This window comes from Homo sapiens, chromosome 14 (genome assembly GCF_000001405.40).
Source record: "Homo sapiens chromosome 14, GRCh38.p14 Primary Assembly".
Taxonomy (NCBI): domain Eukaryota; kingdom Metazoa; phylum Chordata; class Mammalia; order Primates; family Hominidae; genus Homo; species Homo sapiens.
The window spans coordinates 73,837,898-73,864,248 of NC_000014.9; the positions used below are offsets into that span (position 1 = coordinate 73,837,898).

The window sequence follows — 26,351 nt, forward strand, 5'->3', positions numbered from 1 at the left end:
CCATCCCGGCTAAAACGGTGAAACCCCGTCTCTACTAAAAATACAAAAAAATTAGCCGGGCGTAGTGGCGGGCGCCTGTCGTCCCAGCTACTTGGGAGGCTGAGGCAGGAGAATGGCGTGAACCCGGGAGGCGGAGCTTGCAGTGAGCCGAGATCCCGCCACTGCACTCCAGCCTGGGCGACAGAGCGAGACTCCGTCTCAAAAAAAAAAAAAAGATAAGTTCAATCGATCTCACAAGCATGGCCACCTGTATACCAGGCCCACACAGGCTGACCCCTGGGAAGCACCAAAGCAGCTGGATTTACGGAAAGTCTTGTCAGACCTCTGGGTCTAAACAAGCTGCAGAATTAAAGGTAGCCCAGGGAGGCTGACTTTAATAAAGTCAATCCAGGAAGAAAAAGCAGCAGGCTTTCAGGTGTTCCAATGATGCAACATGCCTTGAGCTGGATTTTGTGCTGTTCTTTACAGTAAGAGGTGAGGTACTGTGTGTACATATATGCTTGGTATGTGGGGACTGTGTCTGCCCCAGGCAACTAAGACAAGGATTTCAGCAACTGTAGCAGCGCAGGCACCATAGAACATAGAGAGCCTTGGCCAGCCCCGGTGGCTCATGCCTGTAATCCCAGCGCTATGGGAGGCCAAGGTGGGTGGATCACCTGAGGTCAGGAGTCCTAGACCAGCCTGGCCAACATGATGAAACCCTGTTTCTACTAAAAATACAAAAAATTAGCCAGGCATCGCGATGGGCACCTGTAATCCCAGCTACTCGGGAGGCTGAAGTGGAGAATCACTGGAACCCAGGAGGTGGAGGTTGCAGTGAGCTGAGATCGCACCACTGCACTCTGGCCTGGGCAACAAGAGCAAAACTATGTCTCTCTCTCACACACACACACACACACACACACACAAACACACACACACACACACACACACACACACACACAAAAGAACATAGCCATGTTGGTTGACTACATGATCAGTAGAAACCCACTGTCCCCTAAAGAGCTACTTAACAAGAGTTTCTTCTTGCTGAGCCTTAAAGTATAAAACTCTTTAATAATTTACTCACAGCAATGTAACTTCAGACACAAAACACATCTTTATTCATGTGTTCATTACCCACTTTGGTGATGCACCTGTCATTTAGCTGTTTCTCAAGATGATGTTCAGCAGTTGGATGCTTATTAGTCCTTTTTCCACTAGTTCCTGAAAATAGTGGCTTAATTGAACGTTCTCCCTGCAAGTAGTTTCCTACTATTGTCAAGGATTTGGTTGCGCATTGTGTTTTAGACTAGTTGCACTTGACACCCCTTTCAGTTCATTTTCATTTCTGATTTTGTTATGCACAGCCCTCTCCTACCCCGATCAAGGTACATCTTCCGCCTCCCACACAACCCAACACATCTACTCAGTAGCACTGTGCTATCTGTCAGAGGATATTATTGTAATACCAGCCTAATGGATTTTGTGTTCAGGTTGGTGAAATGATGAAATCAACTGAAAGAGGTATGTTCACAGCAATATTTATTAAGGAGATCAGAAGGAATGGAGAATGGGCCAGGCACGGTGGCCCATGCCTGTAATCCCAGCACTTTGGGAGGCTGAGGTGGGTGGATCACCTGAGGTCAGGAGTTCGAGACCAGCCTGGCCAATATGGTGAAAACCTGTCTCTACTAAAAATACAAATCTCCACATCTTTTGTAAAACTAACTTTTGTCATGATAAACACTGAAGCAGGATGAGAAACAATTGCCCATACTGTAAAATAATTATTTGGAGAAAATTGGCCTTTTCCCAAACTGATGGTTGTTCTTTGAAATGTAAATTGCTAAATTTTATTTGTTTATGTTTAACTTTTTACTTATTTATTCACTCATTTATTGAGATGGGGTCTTGCTCTGTTGCCCAGGCTGGAATGCAATGGCACGATCATAGCTCACTGCAACCTCCAACCCCTGGGCTCAAGGGATCCTCCCACCTCAGCCTCCTGAGTAGCTGAAACTACAGGCACATATCACCAGCTAACCTTTTTTTTTTCCACAAAAACAAGCAGCCTTTATTGCAGTATTACAAAACACTTTTCATATTGGCAATATTTTACAACACATTTAGCTCTAAGGGTTGAGGAGGAGAAGGTTGGAAACTAAAAGGGGAAATCTCAACATTTCTAAAAGAAAAACTGTCCCAGCCCTCCCACTCAAATAATCCAAATGTCACGGCCGGGCGCGTGGCTCACACCTGTAATCCCAACACTTTGGGAGGCCGAGGCGGGTGGACCACCTGAGGTTGGGAGTTCAAGACCAGCCTGACCACCATGGAGAAACCCTGTCTCTACTAAAAATACAAAATTAGCCGGGGTGGTGGTGCATGCCTGTAATCCCAGCTACTTGGGAGGCTGAGGTAGGAGAATCACTTGAACCTGGGAGGTGGAGGTTGGAGTGAGCCGAGATCGCACCATTGCACTCCAGCCTGGGCAACAAGAGCAAAACTCCGTCTCAAAAAAAAAAAAAAAAATCACTTAATTTCACTACCCAAGAAGAGGCCACGAGGAAAGCAGCAGGCAAAACTCTGGCAATTTCACTATGGATCATGTCAGAGACAAAGGAATATTCAAAACAGTCATCAGTATGGTCGATTGTACTGATCATTTCTGTAGTCACTTCTTCCTCCAATTTTGCTTCCATAGCCACCTCAGTCTCCTCCATAGGTGCCTGGCTAACCTTTTTAAAAAAATTTTTGTTGGCCGGGCATGATGGCTCACGCCTGTAATCCCAGCACTTTGGGAGGCCGAGGTGGGCGGATCACCTGAGGTCAGGAGTTCAAGATGAGCCTGGCCAACATGGCAAAACCCCATCTCTACTAAAAATATAAAAATTAGCCGGGCGTGGTGGCGGGTGCTTGCAATCCCAGCTACTCAGGAGGCTGAGGCAGGGAGAATTGCTTGAACCCGGGAGGTGGAGGTTGCAGTGAGCCGAGATTGTGCCACTGCACTCCAACCTAGGTGACAGAGCAAGACTCCGACTCAAAAAAAAAATTTTTTTTTTGTAGAGCTGAGGGCAGTGGCTCATGCCTGTAATCCAGCACCAGCACTTAGGGAGGCCAAGGCAGGAGGATCACTTGAGCCCAGGAGTTCAAGACCAGCCTAGGCAACATAGTGAGACCCTGTCTCAAACAAAATTAAAAAATAGTAATAAAAATTTCTTGTAGAGACAGGGTCTCACTTTGTTGCCCAGGCTGGTCTCAAACTCCTAGGCTCAAGCAGTTCCCCTGCCTTAGCCTCCCAAAGTGTTGGGATTACAGGCATCAGCCCACACACCTGGCCCAGATTCTTTATTATACAACATTCCTTTTCTTTAGAAGGCTAAAGCACTGGACAGAGAGAGAGTTCAGGGAATGATGACAGTAACTGCTACACTGTCATTCAGTATTTCAGCATGCAGTAAAGCTTTATGATCGCTTTACTATAAAATATGAAAATCTGAAACAGTTCTTCAAAACATTTTTATTCTTGGACATAAAAATAGTGTTTGACTCTGCTACAATATCTTGTTGTTTTATTACAGCTTAACTATTTGCTTATATGTGCTATTCATATCTTCCCTTTGCTTTTTTCCCCATCTCCCAAAGTAGGTAAACCTATTGTTTTCACATAGAATGCATATAATTTTGGAAAACTATAATGCTCTAGTAAGTTATTCTATAAATTATTACTATAAATCACTAGTGTGAATTAGTATAAATCAAACAAGTAATAATAGTATTACTTTAAATCACTAGTATGATTCATGGTAATTTTATTCTTTATGTTTTCACGATTTCCTTTTTCCAACAGGTACTTATGGGCAAAATAATTACCAATGAACTGACATCAGCATGCTTTCCCCTGCTGTAAAAAATCTAAATGGAAATTCTGTATGTTTTTGTTTTTGTTTTTGTTTTTGTGGGGGACAGGGCCTTGCTTTGTGACCCAGGTTGGAGTGGTACGATCATAGCTCAGCATAACTTCAACCTCCTGGGATCAAGCAATCTTCCCATCTTTGTCTCCTGAGTAGCTGGGAATACAGGGGTGTGTCACCACACTTTGCTAATATTTTTAAAGATTTTTTGTAGAGACAGGGTCTCACTATGTTGCCCAGGCTGGTCTTGAACTCCTGGCCTCAAGTGATCCTCCCACTTTGGCCTACCAAACTGCTGGGATTACAGGCATGAGCCACTGTGCCCAAATTCTATATGTTTTTATGTCAAGGAGTTTGAACCACTCATGTGCAGATATATATATATATATATATATATGGCATAAAGTAGTGTTTATGATCTGTATCTACATCATCATATGGATGTATACATATCAATAAAGTTATTATTTAACAAAATGCACCCAGTCACATGTGGTAACTTCTTAGGACTGAATTCTGGCCACAGCAGGAGAGCATGGTAGCAAATATCAATGGGAGACAGAAATTAAAGAGCTTTTGCCAAGAGTCATCACAATTGACACTGGTTGATAAGAATGCATGCTGAGGTATGGATTGGCAGCTCATCTAAACCACAAGCTCTTGCCCACTATTTCTTCAGTAGCCAACAAGAAAAAGGGAATAGCTGGGGCCAGATATCAGGAAGTGCCCCCTGGACTATAAGAAGGGAGTCTCATAGGATTGGCGGAGCAGCTAGAGGAGAAACAGCAGCTATTATATTAAAAAGAAGTGTTTGAACCTATATGATGCTAGGCCTTATCTACTCCTGGGTTCTCAAGAATTGAACGTGGAAAAAGGAAAATGCAAACAACAGCAGTTAAGTTTGTTCCTACAGCACATGCTTTTACTCTGAAAGTCTCTCCTCTCAGCAGTAATTTAGCCCAACTCCTGTATCAAGATTCTTATGAGGCTGGGTGCTGTGGCTCACACCTGTAATCCCAGCACTTTGGGAGGCCAAGGCAGGCTCATCACTTGAGGTCAGGAGTTCAAGACCAGCCTGGCCAACATGGTGAAACCCCATCTCTACTAAAAAAAAATAATAATAAAAAAAAGGCTGGGCATGGTGGCATGCACCTGTAATCCTAGCTTCTCAGGAGGCTGAGGCAGGAGAAACACTTAAGCCCCGGCAGCAACGGTTGCAGTGAGCCAAGATTGCACCACTGCTCTCCAGCCTGGGTGACAGAGCAAGATTCCATCTCAGAAAAAAAAAAAAAAAAAAAAAAAGAATCTTGTGAAATGACAAGATCACAAGTAAGGGTGTTATTATTGCAATAATGTACACTTCATTTTTCCACTACTGAAGGAGAAAACTCTCTGGGGAGTGAAAATCAACACTCAGTTTAACAATAGTGCTGCATATAAATTCACATCAAAATGTAAAACCAACTTAGTTAAAAAAAATCCAGATAAAATGAAATGGGCCATGATAATGGTATAGTCTTTCAATTATGGGTCTCATGTTATAAGGATGACATATTATTTCCTAAATGTTGATTAAGGTTCTCAATACCACTGGTGGTAAATAAAGGGGTAGCCATTTCACAGATGAGAAAATTAAGACAAGAGAGACTCTATGACTGACCCAGAGATGAATGAGAAGTCACAGAGAAGATGCAGAACTGAATTCCTGATCTCAGCTCCTTTCTCAACTGCTTATCTAATACTTTCCCTTTCTTTCTTTTTCTTTTCTTTTTTCCCCTCCCTCCCTCCCTCCCTCCTTTCCTCCTTCCTTCCTTCCTTCCTTCCTTCTTTTTCTTTCTTTTCTTTCTTTCTTCCCCCGCCTCCTTTTTTTTCTTTTGAGACAGGGTCTCACTGTGTCGTCCAGGCTGGAGTGCAGTGGGGTGATCACAGCTAACTGCAGCCTTGACCTCCTGGGCTCAAGCGAGTCTCCTACATCAGCCTCCCAAGTAGCTGGGACTACAGGTACACACCACCACGCCTGGCTAATTTTGTTCATTTTTTGTATAGACAAGGTCTCACTATGTTGCCCAGGCTGGTCTCAAACTCCTGAGCTCAAATGAAACTCCCACCTCGGCCTCCCAAAGTGCTAGGATTACAGGTGTGAGCCACTGCACCCAGCGTATCTAATGCTTTTCAAACGGTGACCACAGAGCTTGAAAGTCTTACTGAGATAAACTCCGTCTCTACTAAAAATATAAACATTAGCTGGGCGTGGTGGCATATGCCTGTAATCCCAGCTACTCAGGAGGCTGAGGCAGGAGAATCACTTGAGCCTAGGAGACGGAGGTTGCAGTGAGCCAAGATCACGCCACTGCACTCCAGCCTGGGTGACAGAGCGAGACTCCATCTCAAAAAAAAAAAAAAAAAAAGTTTATGAGCCAATATTGACACATTATTGTTAACTGAAGTCCAAAAGTTACATAATTACATTAAGATTTACTTTAGTTATTTACTTATTTTTAGAGAGACAGAGTCTCCCTCTGTTGCCCAGGCTGGAGTGCAGTGGTACAATTATAGCTCACTCACTGCAGTCTCCACCTCCTGGACTCAAGTGATCTTCCTGTCTCAGCCTCCCCAGTAGCTGGGACTACAATCACGTGCCACCACATCTGGCCAATTTTTAACATTTTTTGTAGAGAGAGGAATCTTATGTTGCCCAGGCTGGTCTTGAACTCCTCACCTCAAGTGATCCTCCCACCTTGACCTCCCAAAGTGCTAGGATTATAGGCGTGAGACACCGCACTGGACTGGGACCATTAAAAAAAATTTTTTTTTGAGATGGAGTCTTACTCTGTCACCCAGGCTGGAGTGGCAGTGGCCTGATCTTGGGTCACTGCAACCTCTGCCTCCTGGGCTCAAGTGATTCTCCTAGCTCAGCCTCCCCAGTAGCTATGACTGCAGGTGTGCACCACCACGCCCAGCTAATTTTCGTATTTTTCTGTAGTAGAGAGGGGGTTTTACCATGTTGGCCAGGCTGGTCTGGAACTCCTTACCTCAAGTGATCCACCTGCCTCAGCCTCCCAAAGTGCTGGGATTACAGGTGTGAGCCACCGCACCCAGCCCCTGGGACCATTTTTTTTTTTTTTTTTGAGATGGAATCTTGCTCTGTCGCCAAGGCTGGAGTGCAGTGGCACGATCTCGGCGCACTGCAAGCTCCGCCTCTCCTGGGACCATTTTTTAATTCGGTTGATTGTCTTCATATATCCTTGTTTTTTTGTTTTCTTATTCAGACATTCAGCAGCCATATCTCATAATTATCTTCATACTATTGAGTTATGAGTTCTTTATGTGTTTTCAATATAAGCCTTTTATCAGATGTATGATTTGCAAATATTTTCTTCCAGTCTGTGGCTTATCTTTTCATTTTCATTTTTTTTTTTTGGTTTTGAGAGAGAGTCACAGTCTGTTGCCCGGGCTGGAGGGTAGTGGTATGATCAAGGCTCACTGCAGCCTCAACCTCCCAGGCTCAAGTGATCCTTCCACCATAGCCTGCTGAGTAAGTTGGGACTACAGGCCTGTACCACCACACCCAGCTATTAATAATTATTTCTTGAATTTCAGTAGAGACAAGGTCTCCCTATGTTGCCCAGGCTGGTACAGAAATCCTAAACTCAAGCAATCTGCCCGCCTTGACCTCCCAGTGTTGGGATTACAGGTGTGAGCCACCACCCATGGCCCTTTCATTTTCTTAAGGTACTTTATATTTTAAATTTTGATAAATTCTAATTTATCACATTTTCTTCTATGGTTTCTGCTTTTGGTGTCTTTTTTTGAGTTTTATATTTTTACCTCTTAGGTTTTGGTTTATAATCCATTTTGAATTAATTTTTGTATTTGGTGTGAGCAAAGATTCAAGTTTCTTTTTGTTGTTTTTGTTTTCCAGGGCTTTGCTTTTGTTTTTTGGTGTATGGATATCCAATTGCGCCGGCATCATTTATTGAGATTATCATTTTGCTACTGAGTTGTCTTGACCCCTTTGTAAAAAATCAATTAACTATAATGTAGGAAGGGTTTATTTCAAGACTCTTCTCTTCCATTGATCTATTTATCCTTGCATCAACAGCACAATGCCTTGATTACTACAGTTTTTTAAATACAATATTTATACGATTTAAGAATACATCCTATGCCAGGCGCGGTGGCTCATGCATAATCCCAGCACTTTGGGAGGCCAAGGTGGGCAGGTAACTTGAGACCAGGAGTTTGAGACCAGCCTGGCCAACATGGCGAAACCCTGTCTCCACTAAAAATAAGAAAATTAGCCAGGCATGGTAGCATGTGCCTGTAATTCCAGCTACTTGGGAGGCCGAGGCATGAGAATAGCTTGAGTGAGCTGAGACTGTGCCACTGCACTCCAGCCTGGGCAACAGAACAAGACTGTCTCAAAAAAAAAAAAAAAAAAAAAAAGAAAGAAAAGAAAGCAAGCTTGGAAGTGGATTCTTCCCCAGCTGAGTCTTCTTATGAGACCACAGCCCAGCCCAGACTGGCAGCTTGATTACAGAGACCTTGAGCCAGAATCACCCAGCTAAACTGTGCATGGCTTCCTGATCCTTCAAAACTCTGAGATAATACAATAAAAGTTCATAGTTTTTGTTTGTTTGTTTGTTTGTTTTTTGAGATGGAGTCTAGCTCTGTCACCCAGGCTGGAGTGCAGTGGCACAATCTTGGCTCACTGCAACCTCTGACTCCTGGGTTCAAGTGATTCTCCTTCCTCAGCCTCCTGAGTAGCTGGGATTACAGGCGCCCGGCACCACACCCAGCTAATTTTTGTATTTTTAGTAGAGACGGGGTTTCACTGTGTTGGCCAGGCTGGTCTCGAACTCCTGACCTCGTGATCCACCCACTTTGGCCCCCAGAAAGTGCTGGGATTACAAGCGTGAGCCACGGAAAAGTTCATTGTTTTAAACCACTAAGTTTTGGGGGTAATTTGTTTGTAGCAATAGATAACGATACAACAGCCAATCTTCAAAAGTTTTTCTTTCAAGGTTATTTTCACTTGGCATGCAAGAATTTCTAAACCTCTAAGAGTTTTCAAGCTCTCTTTTCTGAAATTGTACTTCAAAGGACAGATACATTAATGGGGAACAAAAACATGTTGATCACATTTATAAATATCCATACAACTTGGTAATCATATAAATGTTCTTAATTTAACACCTTATACGGTTAGAGTCTTTGAAATGATTTTATGATACAGAAATGTCGCTCTTCATCAGTAACTGCAGGGGAGAGAAGAAATCTCATTCATCTCTTTCTGGGACTCTTTTTGTTAATTTTGAAGACTTAGCATTTTTAAGGTCAGGCTCTGGATTTCATTAGTCAGCATTATATGTAAAATGTAGGCTAGTGGAGCTAAATTTTACTGGCAGAAGTGGAGGAAGAAATATAGCCGGGTGCAGTGGCTCATGCCTGTAATCCAAACACTTTAGGAGGCTGAGGCAGGTGGATCACTTGAGGTCAGGAGTTCAAGACCAGCCTGGCCAACATGGTAAAACCCCGTATCTACTAAAAATACAAAAATACAGGCATGGTGGTGGGTGCCTGTAGTCCCAGCTACTTGGGAGGCTGAGGCAGGAGAATCACTTGAACCTGGGAAGCAGAGGTTGCAGTGAGCCAAGATCCCGCCACTGCACTCCAGCCTGGGTGATAAAGCAAGACTCCATCTCAAAAAAAATTAAAGTAAATAAATAAATAAATAAGCTTTTATTTAATAGCAGTGAAATAGCTTATAGCATTCAAGCCCCTAAAGAGATCAGTCATACCAATAGGAGGTACAGGGGAGAAAATTTTGCTTTGCAATTTTGAGATACATTACCCACAGTGACTTTAACTAAAAGGAGTGGGAGAAAATTCAGGTCCAACAGAGGACAACTCTGACTGGCCATGTTAGTTCCAAGCTCCCCGGGGAGTTCAGCTTCTCCTGTTGCCCAGTCCTGCTTTCTTCCTCTTCCTCCGATAGGTATTGATTCAAAAGGTATTCCCTAATAGACATCCTGCATACCAAACTCCCCATCAGGGTTTGCTTTCCAGAGAACCCACCTTGTAATAGGCACAAATATGACCTTTTTCTAAATGCTCAATTTTTCTGAAAAAGCATTTATTTAAGCTTGAGTTTCACAGGATTCGGTTACAGCATTTTTTTTTTTTTTTTTTTTTTTTTTTTTTTTTTGAGACAGAGTCTTGCTCTGTCACCCAGGCTGGAGTATAGTGACGTGATCTGGGCTCACTGCAACCTCTGCCTCCCAGGTTCAAGCCATTCTTTTGCCTCAGCCTCCTGAGTAGCTGGGTTTATAGGCGCTCGCTACCATGCCCGGCTAATTTTTTGTATTTGTATTTGTATTTTTGTATTTTGTATTTTTAGTGGAGACAGGGTTTCACCATGTTGGCCAGGCTGGTCTCGAACTCCTGACCTCATGTGATCCGCCTGCCTCAGCCTCCCAAAGTGCTGGGATTACAGGCATGAGCCACCGAGCCCAGCCAGGTGTGGTTTTTATCTCTTACTTTGTTCTGTTATCTCTTTAGGATGTATGTTTGGGTTTGAATTTGTGTCATTATGAACAATTATCACCTCCATGGAAAAATGTTTTATTTAGCATCAAATAATCTTTGATGTTGCACTAAGTGTCATATACCATGCAGGTTGGTCAAACTTGAATGATTTCTCCTGAGTAATTTGCTATCATACGAGGTTATTTTCATTTAAAAATAATTTAATGAATGAAAAAACTAAAAAATAATTTAATGAATGAGTATACAAACATATTAGATTAAGTATTTATATTTATTTTATTTATTTATTTATTTCTGAGATGGAGTCTTGCTCTGTCGCCCAGGCTGGAGTGCAGTGGTGCAATCTCTGCTCACTGCAAGCTCTGCATCCCGGGTTCATGCCATTCTCCTGCCTCAGCCTCCTGAGTAGCTGGGACTATAGGCGCCCCCACCACGCTCAGCTAATTTTTTTGTATTTTTAGTAGAGACGGGGTTTCACCGTGTTACCCAGGATGGTCTTGATCTCCTGACCTTGTGATCCGCCCACGTCAGCCTCCCAAAGTGCTGGGATTACAGGCGTGAGTCACTGCGCTCGGCCAAGTATTTATATTTATTATGCATTTTTTTTTTTAAGAGACAGAATCTCATTCTGTTGCCCAGGCTGGAGTGCAGTGGTGCAAACACAGCTCACTGCAGCCTCGCCCTCCTGGGCTCAAGTGATCCTCACACCTCAGTCTGTCAAGCAGCTGAGACAACAGGCACACACATCACACCAGGCTAATTTTTAAAATTTTTTGTAGAGGTGGGTTTTGCCATGTTGCCTAGGCTGGTGTTGAACTCCTGGGCTCAATCGATCTTCCTACCTCTTGGCCTACCAAAGTTCTGGGATTACAGGTTTGAGCCACAGTGCCTGGCTTTTTTTTTTTTTTTTTTTCTTTTTTTGAGACAAAGTCTTACTCTGGCACCTAGGGTGGAATGTAGTGATGAGATCATAGCTAGCTGCAACTTGGAATTCCTGGGTTTAAGCGATCCTCCTGCCTCAGCCTCATGAGTAGCTGCTGGGACTGCAGGTGTGTGCCACCACACCTGGCTATTTTTTTTCTTTTTGTTTTTTTTTTTGGTTGTTGTTTGTTTTTTGTAGAGATAGGGGTCTCCTATGTTGCCCAGGCTGGTCTGAAACTTCTGGCCTCAAGTGATCCTCCTGTCTCGCCTCCCTAAGTGCTGGAATTATGAGTGTGAGCCACTGCACCTGGCCTATATTTATCATGCTTGAATGAAACAATATATACTATGTATTTTTTTTTGATAAGATGGAGATGAGAAGAATTGACACTTCCTTCTAGTGAAGTCTAGAAAATGATTCTCAGGGCTGGGCGTGGTGGCTCATGCCTTTAATCCCAGCACTTTGGGAGGCCAAGGCAGGTGGATCACCTGAGGTCAGGAGTTTGAGACCAGCCTGGCCGACATGATGAAACCCCATTTCTACTAAAAATACAAAAATTAGCTGGGTGTGGTGGCATGCACCTGTAGTTCCAGCTACTCAGTAGGCTCAATTGCTTGAACCCGGGAGGCAGAGGTTGCAGTAGGCCGAGATCGTGCCACTGCACTCCAGCCTGGGCGACAGAGAGAGACTCCGTCTCAAAAAAAAAAAAAAAAAAAAAGAAAAGAAAAAAGAAAAAAAAGAAAATGATTCTCAGGAATTGCTTGAACGATGAGAAGGAGGCAGTACAAAGTTCTGCAAAGAGGGAGGAGTAGGGAATTCCAGATTTATGGCAAATATAACAAAGGGTCAGGTGCTTGGACTCAGGCAGGATAACTTGCTCCTTTACTTATTAGTTACTTAACCTGACTTAGAACTTAACTAGCTTAACTTCGGTTTCCTCATTCGTAAAATGGTAATAATAATAATAGGGCTGTTTTGAAAATTAAATCATGTAGGCAAAAAATCATATAAGGCATTATCCAACTCAAACTACGCATTATGTAAATGATAGTAATCCTTGGTGTTAGAGAAAATTTAGAAGAAGAGGATAAACTGGATAGAAATGTACCTATAAATCCTCTACTCATCTCTTGAATTTTTGGGAACTCATTTTGGCGAGAAAAATCACACTTGTTACAAGGAGTTCACAGACCCTAGAATCAAGAGAGCTAAAACTAATTAATACACATACATATATTTAAAATTTTTGAGACAAGGTATCAGTCTGTCACCCAGGCTGGAGTGCAGTGGTGTGATCAAGGCTCGCTGCAGCCTACTGAGCAGCTGAGAGACTACCAGCAAGCACCACCACACCTAGCTAATTTCATTTTATTTTTTATTTTTTGAAGAAATGCGGTTTCACCACGTTGCCCAGGCTGGTCTCGAACTCCTGACTCAAGCAATCCACCTGCCTCTGCCTCCCAAAGGTCTGAGATTACAGGCGTGAGCCACTGCGTCCAGCCCCAAAACTAATTTAATATTGCAGGGCTTCTTTTCTATTTTGAAAGTGTTTCTTTTAAATCAAGTTCTAGATTACCTTTATTTTATACTACTACTTTTTGTCTATTTGAGCATTTTATTTTTCATCATTTGGTTTAAGTCATTACAAAAGGCATTGAAGGTCTGTCTACCTGTCCATGACAGATAAAAGAGATTAGCTCCTGTCTGAAAATGTTTGCAAAGTAGTGTAATTCTCCTAGTCCTTCCTGAAGCTTTCCCAAAGAAGCAAAAATATTCAGACATAAAGCTACCAGGAACTCCAACCTGTTTGATCACTATTCCCTTGCTCACCAACCTAGTCATCTTTCAGCTACTCCATGCATGACTTGTGCTGAGCTATTAGCTCCCACATGAATACAAGCAATTCTTATACCTGCCTAATTCAGATGATCTTTCTTAGGGTTTGAAGTCCCTGGGGATCCGAAGCTGTCCTAGGTATACACTTCTCTCAACCCAGTCCAGCACAAAAGGAGACGACTAACGATGAATGAAATTGAGAAATCAGCCCACACTGGTAATCTTGGAGGAATTTGGTATTCTTCGTGAAATAAAAGAGGCGCAAAGGGGCCCTGGATTAGGGTCCGGAGAGAGGGGTTTTATCCCAGCACTGCCCCTAACCAGCTGAAAGGTAGGTGGTCCAATCACATCAGCTCTCCGAGACTCAGTTTCCCCATCTATAAAACAAGGAGTAGGCTTGACGGTCCCTGTCTCACTATAATTTCCCAATCGAGGTTCAGGGAGAAATCCACAAAACTAATAAAACTTCTTCACGGACTGCTAAATGTGAACTCACTGGTCAAGGCTGCAAGATTTGCTCTTTGGGTCAAGGCAGTAGGGGCGGCCACAAGGAACCAATCTCAGTTAAGTTATTAATGCACTTTGCCCAGACTAGTAACTCTCCCCTGACGTTCCGCATTTCCCTTGCTTCTCCCGGAAACGTGGGGCGCCCAGGAATCCTAAACTTCCAATCCCTAAGCTTCCAAACCCCGCCCCTGGGAGGGGAGGGGGCGCGGAGCCGGGCCTAGTCGCGCGCCTGCGTACTGCGGTCAGAGGGCCGAGGCCTGGGGGCGAGCTGGGGTCGTGCAGTACAGCCTCTTTCCGGCAAATCACGCGAGATTTCGTTCACCCGGGCTCCACAGGGTCAGTGACGCGCGAGCGGCTCCCGCGACTGTGGCTCCCGAAGCTGCTTCGGGCCCCAGCGGTGAGGAAGAAGACTCTCAACCAGGGTGACTTCTAGGCGTCCTCCCGGAGCTACCGGGGACACTGGCGTTATTGCCCGCAACACTGAGATAGGGAATGCTCGAGAAACAGAAGCAGGTTTTGGGGTTTTTTTTGAATTACTGGGGGAAAGCAACCTGAGGTTTTGACGTAATTGTGTTTGAGGTGCCTCTGAAACTTTCATTTAACACAGATTTGTTGAGCACGTACCATGCGCCGGGCATAGGGGATTGGACTCACATTTTTTTGTGTGTGTGACGGAGTCTCGCTCTGTCTGTCGCCCAGGTTGGAGTGCAGTGGCGCGATCTCGGCTCACTGCAGCCTCCATCTCTCGGGTTCAAGCGATTCTCCTGCCTCAGCCTCCCGAGTAGCTGGGATTACTACTGCGCCCGGATAATTTTTTGTATTTTTGGTAGAGACGAGATTTCACCGTGTTAGCCAGGATGGTCTTGATCTCCTGACCTCGTGATCTGCCTGCCTCGGCCTCTCAGAGTGCTGGGATTACAGGCGTGAGCCATCGCGCCCGGCCTGGATTCACATCATTGAACAAAGCAGACGAGTCCTTATCCTCTTAGCGCTGACGAGCTGGGCAGTTAGTTTGAAATTCTGGGCTAGAGACGCAAATTATTATTAATTTCCATATAAAGTGGTTGGTAGGAGGAGCCACAGGGCTCAGGGAGGTCACTGAGAAAGGGAAGAGCAAGATAGGAATCTCCACATGCAAGACTTCGGGAGGGGAAGGGGGAGACCAGAAAACCGGAAGGGGAGGAGAAGACTGGCAGAGAGATCCAGAAAGACACGTGGTTTGTTTGTTTGTTTTTTGAGACAAAGTCTCGCTCTGTTGCCCAGGCTGGAGTGTCCTGGCTGGATCTCGGCTCACTGCAGCCTCAGTCTCCTGGGTTCAGGCAGTTCTCCAGCTTCAGCCTCCTGTGTAGCTGGGACTATAGGCGCCCACCACCACGCTTAATTTTTGTATTTTTAGTAGAGCGGGGTTTTCCCATGTTGGCCAGACTGGTCTCGAATTCCTGGCCTCAAGTGAGCCTCCCACCTCAGCCTCCCAAAGTGCTGGAATTACAGGTGTGAGCCACGGCTCTGGGCCCAGAAAGATACGTTTTATAACAAGGCGTGGTCAACAGGGTTGCTAGTGGCAGAATAATCGCACGAAATAAGGGTATTAAAAGGTATTAGGAAGCTCATGTGATGGAAATAGCAGGTGCCGTGTTGGAGTATGGGTTCTAGCGTTATTACAAGTTGGGCGACTCTGGGCGAATTATTCTCTTTCTGTACCTCTTTTTTCTTCTCTTTTTTCTTTTTTTTTGAGATGGAGTTTCGCTCTTGTCGCCCATGCTGGAGTGCAATGGCGTGATCTCGGCTCACTGCAACCTCCACCTCCCGGTTTAAAGCGATTCCCCAGCCTCAGCCTCCAGAGTAGCTGGGATTACAGGCGCCCGCCACCACGCCGGGCTGATTTTTGTATTTTTAGTAGAGGTGGGGTTTCGCCGTTTTGTCGGAGCTGGTCTCAAACTCCTGACCTCAAGTGATCTGCCCACCTCAGCTTCCCAAAGTGCTGGGATTACAGGCCTGAGCCACCATACCCGGCCCCTTTTCTCATCTATAAAATTGAGAGGATGATATTACCAACCTCACAGTTTTTTTGGGGTGAGGGTGGGGGAGGTGGTTTAAACAGGCTAGTGAATGAGTCTGTGCTCAGTTCCTGGCATTTAGGAATATTAAGGAAACAGGTTGAGAGAAGGGACTTTTTCCAAGTTCCCACCTGGTTAGAACTAGGAGAAGTACTCTGTTCTTCCTACTTAAATGACCTTTCCCTTTTACCAGGCTGCAAGGTAAACACTCAACACACTCTATCATCACATCGGAGCAAATTCGTCTGTTATTATTTTGGAATATTAGCACCAAGTAGGAATAGTATCCCAGGCAAATAGGATTTGCTGAGTTTTTTTCCCCTACTTGGGATGAATTTAACAATCTACCCTTCTTTCAGATCTTGGAACTTGATGTGTCTTATTTTAGCTGTTAATTTTATGACTAAATCTAGGTATCTATATTTTATTTATTTTTATTATTTATTTATTTTTTTGAGACAAAGTTTCGCTCTTGTCCCCCAGGCTTGAGTGCAATGGATCAGTTTCGGCTCACTGCAACCTCCGCTTCCCAGGTTCAAGTGATTCTCCTGCCTCAGCCTCCGGAGTAGCTGGGATTACAGGCACCCGCCACCACGCCTGGTTAATTTTTGTATTTTTAGTAGGGCAGAGTTTCACCATGTTGGCCAGGCTGGTCTCAAACTCCTGACCTCAAGTGATCCACCTGCCTCAGCCTCCCAAAGTGCTAGGATTACAGGTGTGAGCCACCGTGCCCAGCCAAGTTATCTATATTTGAAATGTGTGTTTTTTTGGTACTATTGAGGGATATCACACAATTATCCTATATTAATTGTAGTATTTGACACTTGAAAAGTTTCTAATTTAATGCAGAGTGAGAGAACTTTAATAGTATATTTTTCATGCTGATAAGCAGTGTTTGGACAAATCTATAATATACATATTAATATGTTAAACAAATAAAGCATACCATTGACAGTAATTAGAGGGCAAATATGATATTTCATTTGGAAAGACTGCTTTGAAAATTTAGCCATTATGGTTCTATTACTACTTAAGGACTTTTAGACCCACTTAATTTGGAAAACTTTGGCTTTTTAATCCTTATATAATTGACACATATGGTGATTCTGTAGAAAGTTTCCTTTTTAAAACATATGTAGCCCTACATGACATTATGGACCTCTTGGTGTGATGAATGGATGTGGCACCACCCTTAAAGATTCTTGCCTGAAAAATTGAACCTGAAGTAATCAAGCCTCTAGATGTAACTAGCAGTCATGGATAAGGGGAGGAGATAGAAGAAACATTTCCTTCTTTCTTTAAAAGCTAGTCATTTACCTTGTGATGGTAAATGACACCATGAGGAAGCAATCAAAGAACATTCTACAAGCAAAGTAATGAAGAAACAAATCAAGGGCATGAAATAAATGGAAGGGAGACTCAAACTGTAGTATGTGGACCTTGAATCCTGATTTTAATGAACCAACTGTAAAAAGACATCTTTGAAACATTTTTGAAACCAACTGTAAAAAGATATCTTTGAACATCCTGAAACGTCAGGAAATTTGAATATGCACTAGGTATTAGATGATGATAAGGAATTGCCAGTACTACTATTAGGTGTAATAATGGCATAGTGTTTATGTTTAAATCTGTGATGGCTGGGTTATAGTCATTTGCCATATAATGACGGTTCAGACAATGACAGACGATGAGCCTCCCATAACATTATAATGGAATTGAAAAATTCCTCTTGCCTGGTGATGTCATAGTCATCAGAACGTTATAGTGCAATTACTTTATTTTTATTATTTATTTATTGAGACAGGGTCTCACTCTGTCACCCAGACTGGAGTACAGTGGCGTGATCTCGGCTCACCGCAACCTCCACCTCTTGAGTTCAAGCAATTCTCCTGCCTCAGTCTCTGAGTAGCTGGGATTACAGGCGTGCACCACCATGCCTGGCTGATTTTTGTATGTTTAGTAGAGACAGGGTTTCACCATGTTGGTCAGGCTGGTTGTGAACTCCTGACCTTAAATGATGCACCTGCCTCAGCCTCCCAAAGTGCTGGGATTACAGGCATGAGCCACCACGCCCGGAGTATTACTTTATTTTTTAAGAAATTTAGTGGGGCCGGGCGCGGTGGCTCATGCCTGTAATCCCAGCACTTTGGGAGGCCGAGGCGGGTGGATCATGAGGTCAGGAGTTTGAGAACAGCCTGACCAACATGGTGAAACCCCGTCTCTACTAAAAATACAAAAATTAGCCGGGCATGGTGGCACGCACCTGTAATCCCAGCTACTTGGGAGGCTGAGGCAGGAGAATCGCTTGAATCTGGAAGGCAGAGGTTGCAGTGAGCTGAGATTGCGCCACTGCACTCCAGCCTGGGCGACAGAGCAAGACTCTGTTTCAAAAAAAAAAGAAAGAAATTTAGTGTAGTCTAAGTGCATAGTGTTAATAAAGTCTAAGTAGCCTACAGTAATGTCCTAGGCTTTCACATTCCCTCACCACTCACTCCCTGACTCATCCAGAGCAACTTCTAATCTGGTAGGCTCCATTCATGGTAAGTTACCCTATATAGGTATACCATTTTAAAATCTTTTTTGTTGTTGTTTTTTTTGAGGCGGAGTTTCACTCGTCACCCAGACTGGAGTGCAGTGGCGCAATCTTGGCTCACTGCAATCTCCACCTCCAGGGTTCAAGCGATTCTCCTGCCTCAGCCTCCCAAGTAGCTGGGACTACAGGCATGGGCCACCTGCCCACCGGCTATTTTTTTTTGTATTTTTAGTAGAGACAGGATTTCATCATGTTAGCCAGGCTGGTCTCGAACTCCTGACCTCAGGTGATCTGCCCGCCTTGGCCTCCCAAAGTGCTGGGATTACAAGGGTGAGCCACCGCTCCCAGCCCATTTTTAAATCTTTTACCCCATATTTTTACTGTACTTTTTCTATGTTTAGATACACAAATACTTACCATCGTGTTCCAGTTGTCTGCAGCATTCAGTACAGCAACATGCCATATAGGTTTGTACCGTAGAAGTTATAAGCTAAACCATATCACCTAGGTGTCTAGTAATCTGTACCATGTAGGTTTGTGTAAGTATACTCTGATGTTCACACAATGATTAAATCACCTAATGTCACATTTCTCAGCATGTATCCCAGTAGTCAAGCTGTACAAAGCACTCACAAGAGTGCTTGGCACATAGTAACACTAAGGGCTTGATTTTCTAATTTTCACTGGTGGATAAAGTAAGCAAAGTGATTTTCAGCAAGTCAGATAGTGCTAGTACTGGAAGTTCTTTTGCTTTCTTCATTAGCTCAAATTCTAAATCCAGAATAAACTGGCCAGATGTAGTGGCTCACGCCTGTAATCCCAGCACTTTGGGAGGTCGAGATGGGAGGATCACTTGAGCCCAGGAATTCGAGACCAGCCTGAGCAACATAGCGAGACCTCATCTCAAAAAACAAAACAGAATAAACTGATCCTTTACTTATTGGCCATATTGTGATATGGAATTTCCTATAAGGTAAGGATTTTTAAATTCCTTGATATATTACTTTTATTGTCAGCTAAACTATAAAGGAATTTCCGTTTTTTTTTTTTTTAATTCACCACTGATAAGAAGGCAAAGGAATTTCCATTTTGATGAACGAATAGAAGAGCCTTTGAAAATTTGGTTACGTGGCTGGGCTTGGTGGCTCATGCCTGTAATCCCAGCACTTTGTGAGGCCAAGGTGGGCAGATCACTTGAGGTCAGGAGTTCAAGACCCGCCTGGCCAACATGGTGAAACCCTGTCTCTACTAAAAATACAAAAAATTAGCAGGGCACCGTGGTGCACGCCTGTAATCCCAGCTACTTGGGAAGCTGAGGCAGGAGAATTGTTTGAACCCAGGAAGCAGAGGTTGCGGTGAGCTGAGATCGCGCCACTGCACTCCAGCTTGGGTGACAGAGTAAGATTCTGTCCCCCACTCCAAAAAAAAAATTTTTTTGATTACATGTCAATTAAGCAGTTAGTGTTTTTTTTTTTTTTTTTTTTTTGAGACAGAATCTCGCTCTGTTGCCCAGGCTGGAGTGCAGTGGTGCGATCTCGGCTCACTGCAAGCTCCGCCTCCCGGGTCCACGCCATTCTCCTGCGTCAGCCTCCGGAGTAGCTGGGACTACAGGCTCCCGCTACCACGCCTGGCTTATTTTTTTGTATTTTTAGTAGAGACGGGGTTTCACCATGTTAGGCAGGATGGTCTTGAACTCTTGACCTTGTGATCCACCCGCCTCGGCCTCCCAAAGTGTTGGGATTACAGGCGTGAGCCACCGCGCCCAGCTGCAGTTAGCGTTTTTATTTTGCCACTAGATTAACTGCTAGCTCTGGAGGAATATATCATGTTGTTTGTTTTATGTTTTTTTCTTGTCTTTATTTAAAAACAAGTGCAGTATTGAGAAGGGAAAAGAGTAGAACAAGGGGTTTGGCCTGTAACTGACTGAACAATCAGGTGATATAACTCACTACCTTTGGACCAGCCTTGTGTTGTTTTCTTTTAATCGAGCCATAGGAGGCTTAATCATGATGGTGTGCTTGAAGATGAATGAGCTTGAATTATCTGAGACCAAAAACATCTTGCCCCACTAGGGCCGGGTGTGGTGGCTCATGCCTGTAATCCCAACACTGGGAAGCTGAGGCGGGCAGATCACGAGGTCAGGAGATTGAGACCATCCTGGCTAACACAGTGAAACCCCGTCTCTACTAAAAATACAAAAAAATTAGCTGGGCATGGTGGCAGGCGCCTGTCGTCCCATCTACTCGGGAGGCTGAGGCAGGAGAATGGCGTGAACCCAGGAGGCAGAGCTTGCAGTCAGCAGAGATCACACCACTGCACTCCAGACTGGGCAACAGAGCGAGACTCCGTCTTTAAAATAAATAAATAAATAAACAAACATTTTGCCCCACTTAATCTTCAATGAACTTGTTCCTATTAGTTAAAAATTCTAACTAGATTTAGTCTTTCTTCATATATTTGCTTTAGGAGGCAAACTCTGACAGGCGAGTTTATCTTTTTGGATCCTAAATGTGATTTTTCTCCCTCTTCATTGGGAAACACAAATGGACTTCTTTTTTATTTTTAAATTGTTGAATACTTCAAATCTTGTGATTTAAAAATTTTTTTATTTATAGGAGTATTTTATACAGAAATCTTGTGAAACCACTGCCCAACCAGAGCAATGATTGTTCAAAGAGTGGTATTGAATTCTCGACCTGGTATGTATTTGCGATGAATGAACAACTCTGATCTTTGATAAGTATTAATGCAAATGGAGGAATAAAAACTAATGTGATGTTCATGTGGTAAATTAAGGTAGTAAGATATTGACACTAGTAAAGATATTAGAAGAAACTCTTTAAACGATGTAATAATTTTCAAGTGTTAGCTTATCAAGACCATTTTTAAACAGTGTGCTAGTTTTTCAAGTGATAACTTATCCAGGCATTTGTTGATGAAATAAGGTATTTTGGAATCATAATGTCTGAAAGGTTACATTACAAATATATGTGGCTTTTGTTTCTTTAGAGTATGTTATTATTGGTCCTTAAAATTTGCTTTTCTTTTTTATGTGAAATGTACTAACATATCAGTGCTGACATGTAAACTGCATCATAAAAACAGATATGGAAAGAACCTGAGAGATTTGGGTCACTGCTGCCCACTTGAGGAAGTCACTTAACTTTTCTGAACTCAATTTTAGTAAAATGAGCAGTTAGATTAAGATCTTTATGTACTATTCCCACCTTATAAATTTAACAATTCTATGAAGAGTAAATTTGCATTAAACATATCTGAATATGAGTACCTTCTAGTGGTAACCTTTCCTTCTTACAAATTTTTCTCATACCTCAAATTTTTCTAATTTCCTACTTCCTATTTTTTCAGACTTCATTATTATTACTTTTATATTCGTTTAAGTTTCTATAATGATGACCTTTCCTTACAAATTTTTCTCATGCCTCAAATTTTTTAATTTTCCACTTTTTCAGACTTTATTATTATTACTTTTATATTCATTTAAGTTTCTATTTGCTTCTTAAAATAAGGAAGGAAAGTTTAGCCGCGCTCCATCCTGGGTGACAGAGTAAGACCTTGTCTCTAAAAAAAAAAAAGAAATACATACTGAGTCATTTCTATAGTTACAGAAGAATTACAAAACAATATAGATTTACTTGTGCCTGTTTTTTTTTTTTTGACACGGAGTCTCGCTCTGTCATGCAGTGGCACAATCTCGGCTCAGTGCAACTTCCACCTCCCGGGTTCAAGCGATTCTTCTGCCTCAGCCTCCCGAGTAGCTGGGACTACAGGCGTGCGCCACCACGCCTGGCTAGTTTTTGTATTTTTGGTAGAATCAAGGTTTCACCATGTTGGCCAGGCTGGTCTGAAACTCCTGACCTCGTGATCCACCTGTTTCAGCCTCCCAAAGTCCTGGGGTTACAGGCATGAGCCACCACGCCTGGCCCCTTGTGCCTGTTTTAAAAGGAACTGTTCTGAATCCTAGAGTGACCCTTTAAAGAATAATAAGTATATCCCACCACTATGGGAGGCCAAGGTGGGCAGATCGTGAGGTCAGGAATTTGAGACCAGCCTGGCCAGCATGGTAAAACCCCATCTCTACTAAAAATATTAAAAAGTAGCCGGGCATGGTGGTGCATGCCTGTAATCCCAGCTACTCGGGAGGCTGAGTCAGGAGAATCACTTGAACCCAGGAGGCAGAGGTTGCAGTAAGCCGAGATCGCGCCACTGCATTCCAGCCTGGGTGATAGAGCAAGACTCTGTCTCAAATAATAATAATAATAATAGTATATAGCAAAGTGGCTTTTTTTAACTTTATATTTTTGCATAATATTTTAGGAAAAAATGGTAATCCAGTGGCAGAGAATTTCCGAATGGAAGAAGTCTATTTACCAGATAATATTAATGAAGGACAAGTACAAGTTAGAACTCTTTATCTTTCTGTGGATCCTTACATGGTAAGAATCAGGATGTTGTAACTTGGTGAAAAATAACTTTATTTTATTATTTTTCATGTTGTATCTGAATCTTATTGTGCAGTCCCTTATAGATTGGTAAATATTTGAGCAGTTATATATTGATACCTTTTAATTATAGATTGCCTTTGTTTTTATTCACTAGTGTAATTAAGGAATGTTGTAGAGGGAACAGATAATAGTAGTACATGTATGTGATTCAGGTGCTTTCAAATGTTCAGATTACTTCCCAGTAGTAAATAAAGCTTGAAGATAGTAAAACAGGATTGCAAATTCAGTAAATAAAGCTTTAAGATAGTAAAATAAGATTGCAAATTCTTTCAGATCCACTTTATAAGAGAGGCTATGTATGAGATCTTTATTTATTTCTAGTTGACCTCCTTTTCTTTTCTTTTTCTTTTTTTTAAGCGATGAGGTCTCGCTGTGTTGCCCAGGCTGGTCTCAATTTTGCTGGGCTCAGGCAATCCTCTGACTTTGGCCTCCTTGAAGTGCTGGCATTACAGGCATGAGCCACTGTGCTTAGCCCTGTAGTTGATCTCTTTTTGAAAGGAACAGACTCACTTATGCTACTTCTAGATAAATAAGATTTAGTGAAAACGTATACATTGCTGAAGACTGCAGATAAGAAGCCATTAGGCACAGGGACTTTGGCTCTACGAGCTGGCGTCTTGCTTTACTTCTCCCAGAGGTCATACAGTCTTTTCTTTACTTCTAACTTTTTCCTATGGCCATGACAAGCATAACTCTTTATGTCAATTTACCCCCTGCTATTAAGAGGCTCAGCTGGGCATGGTGGCTCTTGCCTGTAATCCTAGCATTTTTGGAGGCCAAGGCAGGATTGCTTGAGCCCAGGAGTTCAAGACCAGCCTGGACAAGAGAGTGAGACCCAGTCTCAACAAAAAATTAAAAATTTAGACAGGTGTGGTGGTGTGTGCCTGTAGTCCTAGCTACTCGAGAGGCTGATGTGGGCAGATCGTTTGAGCCTGGGAGGTTGAGGCTGCATTGAGCCATGATTGCGCCACTGCACTTCCGTTCGGGTGATGGAGTGAGACCCTGTTGCAAAAAAAAAAGTCTCAGTGCTTGGAATCAGATTGGTGCAGTAGGGAAATTGGCCCCATGTGTCTGTTTTGTTAACTGTTTCATAGGTTGCTGAACGACTGTATGAGTTTCCTGTTGCTGTTTTGACATAGTACTGTAAACTTAGTGGCTTTTTTTTTTTTGGGACGGAGTCTCACTCTGTTGCCTAGGCTGGAGTGCAGTGGCACTATCTTGGCTCACTGCAACCTCTGCCTCCTGGGTTCAAGTGATTCTCCTGGCTCAGCTTCCCGAGTAGCTGGGATTGCAGTCGTACACCACCACACCCAGCTAATTTTTTGTATTTTTAGTAGAGATGGGGTCCCACCAGACTGGCCAGCCTGGTGTCAAACTGTTCTTTTTTTTTTGTTATGTAGAGGCTGATTATCTTTTTCATTATTGAAGACATTTTTAAAAAATGAGCAACTTTATTATTTTTATTAACTTTTGTTGTTGTTGTTTGTTTGTTTGTTTTTGAGACAGAGTCTTGCTCTGTCGCCCAGGCTGGAGTGCAGTGGCGCGATCTCGGCTCACTGCAAGCTCCGCCTCCCGGGTTCACGCCATTCTCCTGCCTCAGCCACCCGAGCAGCCAGGACTACAGGCAACCGCCACCACGCCCGGCTAATTTTTTGTATTTTTAGTAGAGATGGGGTTTCACTGTGTTAGCCAGGATGGTCTTGATCTCCTGACCTCGTGATCCACCCGCCTCGGCCTCCCAAAGTGCTGGGATTACAGGCGTGAGCCACTGCGCCTGGCCTATTTTTATCAACATTCTAAATAGTTGAAACAGAAGTATATAAAGTAGGAAGTGAAAGAGTGCCCGTACAAAGGATCGCTTATTGATCTGCTGTCTAGGTAACAGCAATGTACCAATGTTAATGTCCTGCTTTTGATATTATATTGCAGCTATTAAAGACGTCACTACTGCGGCAAGCTGAGTGAAGGACTGTGGACTTCATTTTATTAATTTTTAACTTTTTTGAAATGAGATCTCTATTGCTGAGGCTGAGTGCAGTGGTGTGAATACAGCTCACTGCAGCCTCGACCTCCTGGGCTCAAGCAGTCCTCCCATCTCAGCTTCCCAACTAGCAGGGACCACAGGTATGCACCACCACACCCGGCTAATTTTTTTGTTTTTTGTAGAGATGGGGTCTTGCCATGTTGCCCAGGTTGGTCTTGAACTCCTGGACTCAAGCAATACTCTTATCTTGGCCTCCAAAGTGCTGAGATTTCAGGTGTGAGCCACTACATCTGTCTCCATATACTTAAAAAATTTAACAGTTTTATTATATTCACACACTATACAATTTACTCACTTAAAGAGTACAACTAAATTATTTTTAGTATATTCACGGAATTCTGCAACTGTCATTACAATCAGTTTTACAACATTTTCATCCCCAGAAGAAACCCTGAACCTATGGTATAATTAGCAATCATTCCCCATTTCCCCTCCTCACCCCACCCTCTGCTGTATACAACCAGTAATCTACTTTTTGTTCCTATAGATTTGCCTATTCTGGCCATTTCATATAAATAAAAACATACAATATGTTATTCTTTTTTGTTGTTTTTAAGAGACAGAGTCTTGCACTGTTGCCCAGGCTGGAATGCAGTGGGGCAATCATAGCTCACGGCTGCCTTGACCTTCTGGGCTCAAGCAATCCTCTCACCTCAGCTGAGAGCTCTTGAGTAGCTGAGACCATAGGTGTGTGCCACCATGCCCGGCTAATTAAAATTTTTTAAAAAAACATTTTAAAATTGTTTATTTATGAATCATTGCAAAGAATAAACTGTTATTTATTTATTTATTTAGAGATGAGTTCTGTTTTATCTTTTGTCATTTATACTCTCATACTTTCAGGCTCTCTTTTTTTTTTTTTGGCAGACAGTTTCACTCTATCCCCCAGGCTGGAGTGCAGGGGCTCAATCTCAGCTCATTGCAACCTCCACCTCCTGGATTCAAGAGATTCTCATGCCTCAACCTCCCGAGTAGCTGGGATTAACAGGCGTGCACCACCACACCCAGCTAATTTTTGTATTTTTAGTAGAGATGGGGTTTCACCATGTTGGCCAGGCTGGTCTCAAGCTCCTGACCTCAGGTGATCCACCCGCATCAGCCTCTCAAAGTGCTAGGATTACAGGTGTGAGCCATCACACCTGGCCGACTCATATCTAAGAAGGCTTTTCCCCACCCAAGGTCACCTCTTGCTATGAGACAGCCCAAGCTGGTCTTGAATTCCAGGGATCCTCCTGCCTCAGCCTCCTGAGTAGCTGGGGTTGTAGGTGGGAGCTACTGTGCCTGGCATAATATATGACCTTTTGTGTCTGGCTTCTTTCATTTAGTATGTGTTTACAAGGCTCATCATGTTGTAGTTTATACTTCTTTTTATTGCTGAATAATGTTACATTGTATGGATACAGTATCTTATCTGTTCATCAGATGATGGACATGTGGGTTGTTTACACAACTTGGCTATTAGCAATACTTCTGCTATG

At 43.1% G+C, this 26,351-nt stretch overlaps 1 protein-coding gene across 14 annotated transcripts in view, besides 3 other annotated features; it reads left to right on the top strand.

Annotated features, from left to right (window-relative positions):
• Positions 549 to 718: a silencer, noted in NCBI's record as "fragment chr14:74305149-74305318 (GRCh37/hg19 assembly coordinates)". NCBI's record gives its function as "represses an EF-1alpha promoter that drives an FKBP-Casp9 reporter gene in an ReSE screen in K562 erythroleukemia cells {active_cell/tissue: K562}" and the evidence as "EXISTENCE:reporter gene assay evidence [ECO:0000049][PMID:32094911]".
• Positions 13,668 to 14,070: a silencer, noted in NCBI's record as "fragment chr14:74318268-74318670 (GRCh37/hg19 assembly coordinates)". NCBI's record gives its function as "represses an EF-1alpha promoter that drives an FKBP-Casp9 reporter gene in an ReSE screen in phorbol 12-myristate 13-acetate-treated (for megakaryocytic differentiation) K562 erythroleukemia cells {active_cell/tissue: K562(+PMA)}" and the evidence as "EXISTENCE:reporter gene assay evidence [ECO:0000049][PMID:32094911]".
• Positions 13,680 to 13,729: an enhancer, noted in NCBI's record as "active region_8720". NCBI's record gives its function as "activates an Ori minimal core promoter by ATAC-STARR-seq in GM12878 lymphoblastoid cells {active_cell/tissue: GM12878}" and the evidence as "EXISTENCE:reporter gene assay evidence [ECO:0000049][PMID:35858748]".
• Positions 13,934 to 26,351, top strand: part of PTGR2 (prostaglandin reductase 2) — a 33,896-nt gene continuing 21,478 nt past the window's right edge. For 4 of the 14 annotated variants that reach the window (NM_001371330.1, NM_001146154.2, NM_001371327.1 and 1 more), the window contains exons 1-3: positions 13,934 to 14,046; positions 20,919 to 21,002; positions 22,642 to 22,760. Coding sequence is in view for 10 of the 14 variants with exons in the window: in NM_001146154.2 (NP_001139626.1) it covers positions 20,966 to 21,002; positions 22,642 to 22,760 (156 nt within the window). In the remaining 4 variants the exon portion in view is untranslated. The other 10 variants (NR_163921.1, NM_001371331.1, NM_152444.4 and 7 more) reach the window with 4 other exon arrangements.